General features: G+C 42.1%; 1 protein-coding gene across 12 annotated transcripts in view; it reads left to right on the top strand.

The window, feature by feature from the left end:
- The window catches only part of TSGA10 (testis specific 10), a 157,706-nt gene that overhangs the window by 676 nt on the left and 155,182 nt on the right, over nucleotides 1–1,848 (top strand). The window lies entirely within an intron of this gene.

Here is a 1,848-nt window from a genome sequence, read left to right as displayed (position 1 = left end):
GTAATAGTTTCGGCTAAGTTTTGCTGCATAACAAACTGCCTCAAATAGTGGTTTATATCTCTAACGTGGGCAAGGTGGGTGATTCTTCTGCTAGTTTCTCCTGGGCATATTCATGTGGCTTCATTCAGCACAGGTTGGCTACGCTGGGCGGTCCAAGATAGCCTTATTCATGCTCTGGCAGGTGCTGCCTGGCTGCTAGGGCATCTCAATTCAGGCCTAATCTTGGAAGCAGCGCCTCAGCCATATTCTATTGGCCAAAACAACAACAAAGCCAGCCCAGAGTTAAGGCGTGGGGTAATGGACTTCACCTCTTGATGAAAGAAGCCCAAAGAATTTGTGGTCACCTTTTTCAACCTTGCACAGAAATTAATCTCTCCTTCAGTTAAAATAGAAACCACTAAGACTTGCCTCTTGGAGTAAGAATCATTCAGTGTTCAGTTTGCTGATGCTGATACGGTAAATGACCAGGGCTTCATATAAAGCTACAATGAAGACATAATGACACCTCCTTTCTTTATTATCACACCTTTTACCAAGGTCACTCTGAGTAAGTCTATCTTGTATTATGCAGGTGGGAATGAATTTTGTTCAGAGTTAACTGCACTAGGAATTTTCCTAGTTATTATTAAAAACAGTCACAGAATATTGTTGCTCTTTGCTTATATTACTTCCTTCTAAATTCCCTTTCTCTGAAATCTGAGATGGTACAACTTTGGTTTTTTTTCCTAGTTTCTTGATGAAGAGGTTTTAAAGAATCCCATTCCCTCCTCCCTGCTCCAGGACTTCTGTCCCTTGGTTATTCTTACCTTTACCTACTTCTTCAGCTTCTCCACTGGAACCTTTCAAGTGACACTCAAACATGCTGTACTCTTTAACAATCCTCCAGTGACCTCATTTCTCTTTCCACTTGTCATCCTGTCTGCTACCCTTCTGAGCCAAGCTTCTTGGAAAAACTGCTATACATCCAGTATCTACTTTCTCACTTCCCATTCATTGTTTCAACGTACTCCAAAATGGCTTTTCCCCATTATTCCAGCAAAAGTGCTTTTGCTAAGGTCACGGGTGACATTCATATTGCTAGATCCACTGGACTTTTCAGTATTCATCTAAGTGTTCATTTGACTACCTCAACCTGGAGATTCCTGTGGACAACTTTGACATTACCCTGTCAACTCCTCAGTCCCTTTTGCCAGGTTTTCCTCCAGCCTCACTGCCAACTCCGCAGTCCCCTTTGCCAGCTACCCTGATCTAGTCAGCCCTAAATGTTGGAGTTCCTCAGATCTTTATCTCACACTACATTTTCCTTAAGCAATTTCATTCATTCTATGGCTCTAAGTACCATTTCTGTATACAACTTCAAAATTTATATTTTTTAGTTCCATAGATACAACTGCCTTGTAAACCTGGTAAGTCTAAAAGCCATGCTCCTGAACTCACTCTTTCCCCCCAGGGATCCTGCATGCATAAAGGCTAAAGCCTTTTTTGCCAGAAGCCCTTTCTTCTTCCTCACTTTCCGCTTCCAAACCATGACTACATCCTGTCAGACTTCACCTGGACTCTATCCCCTTCTCTCCACTTTTATGACCATCACCATCATTCACTTAGACAACCATGTCACTGCAAAAGCTATAAATGTCCTCAGAGGCTGCTCTATGGAGTAGCCATTCTGTTTCTTTACTTTCTTAATCAACTTGCTTTCAAAAATGTCCTGAGATACGCTTTCCCATTTCCCACGTTAAAATCAAGTTTATGGCCCAGTGGGAGGATCACCTGAGGCCAGGAGTTTGAGACCAGTCTGGGTAACATTGTAAGACTCTGTCTCTAAAAAAATACAAAAACATGCTGGGT

Source organism: Homo sapiens, chromosome 2, assembly GCF_000001405.40.
Source record: "Homo sapiens chromosome 2, GRCh38.p14 Primary Assembly".
NCBI classification, from domain to species: Eukaryota; Metazoa; Chordata; class Mammalia; order Primates; family Hominidae; genus Homo; species Homo sapiens.
This window is presented reverse-complemented; position numbering and strand designations above follow the sequence as displayed.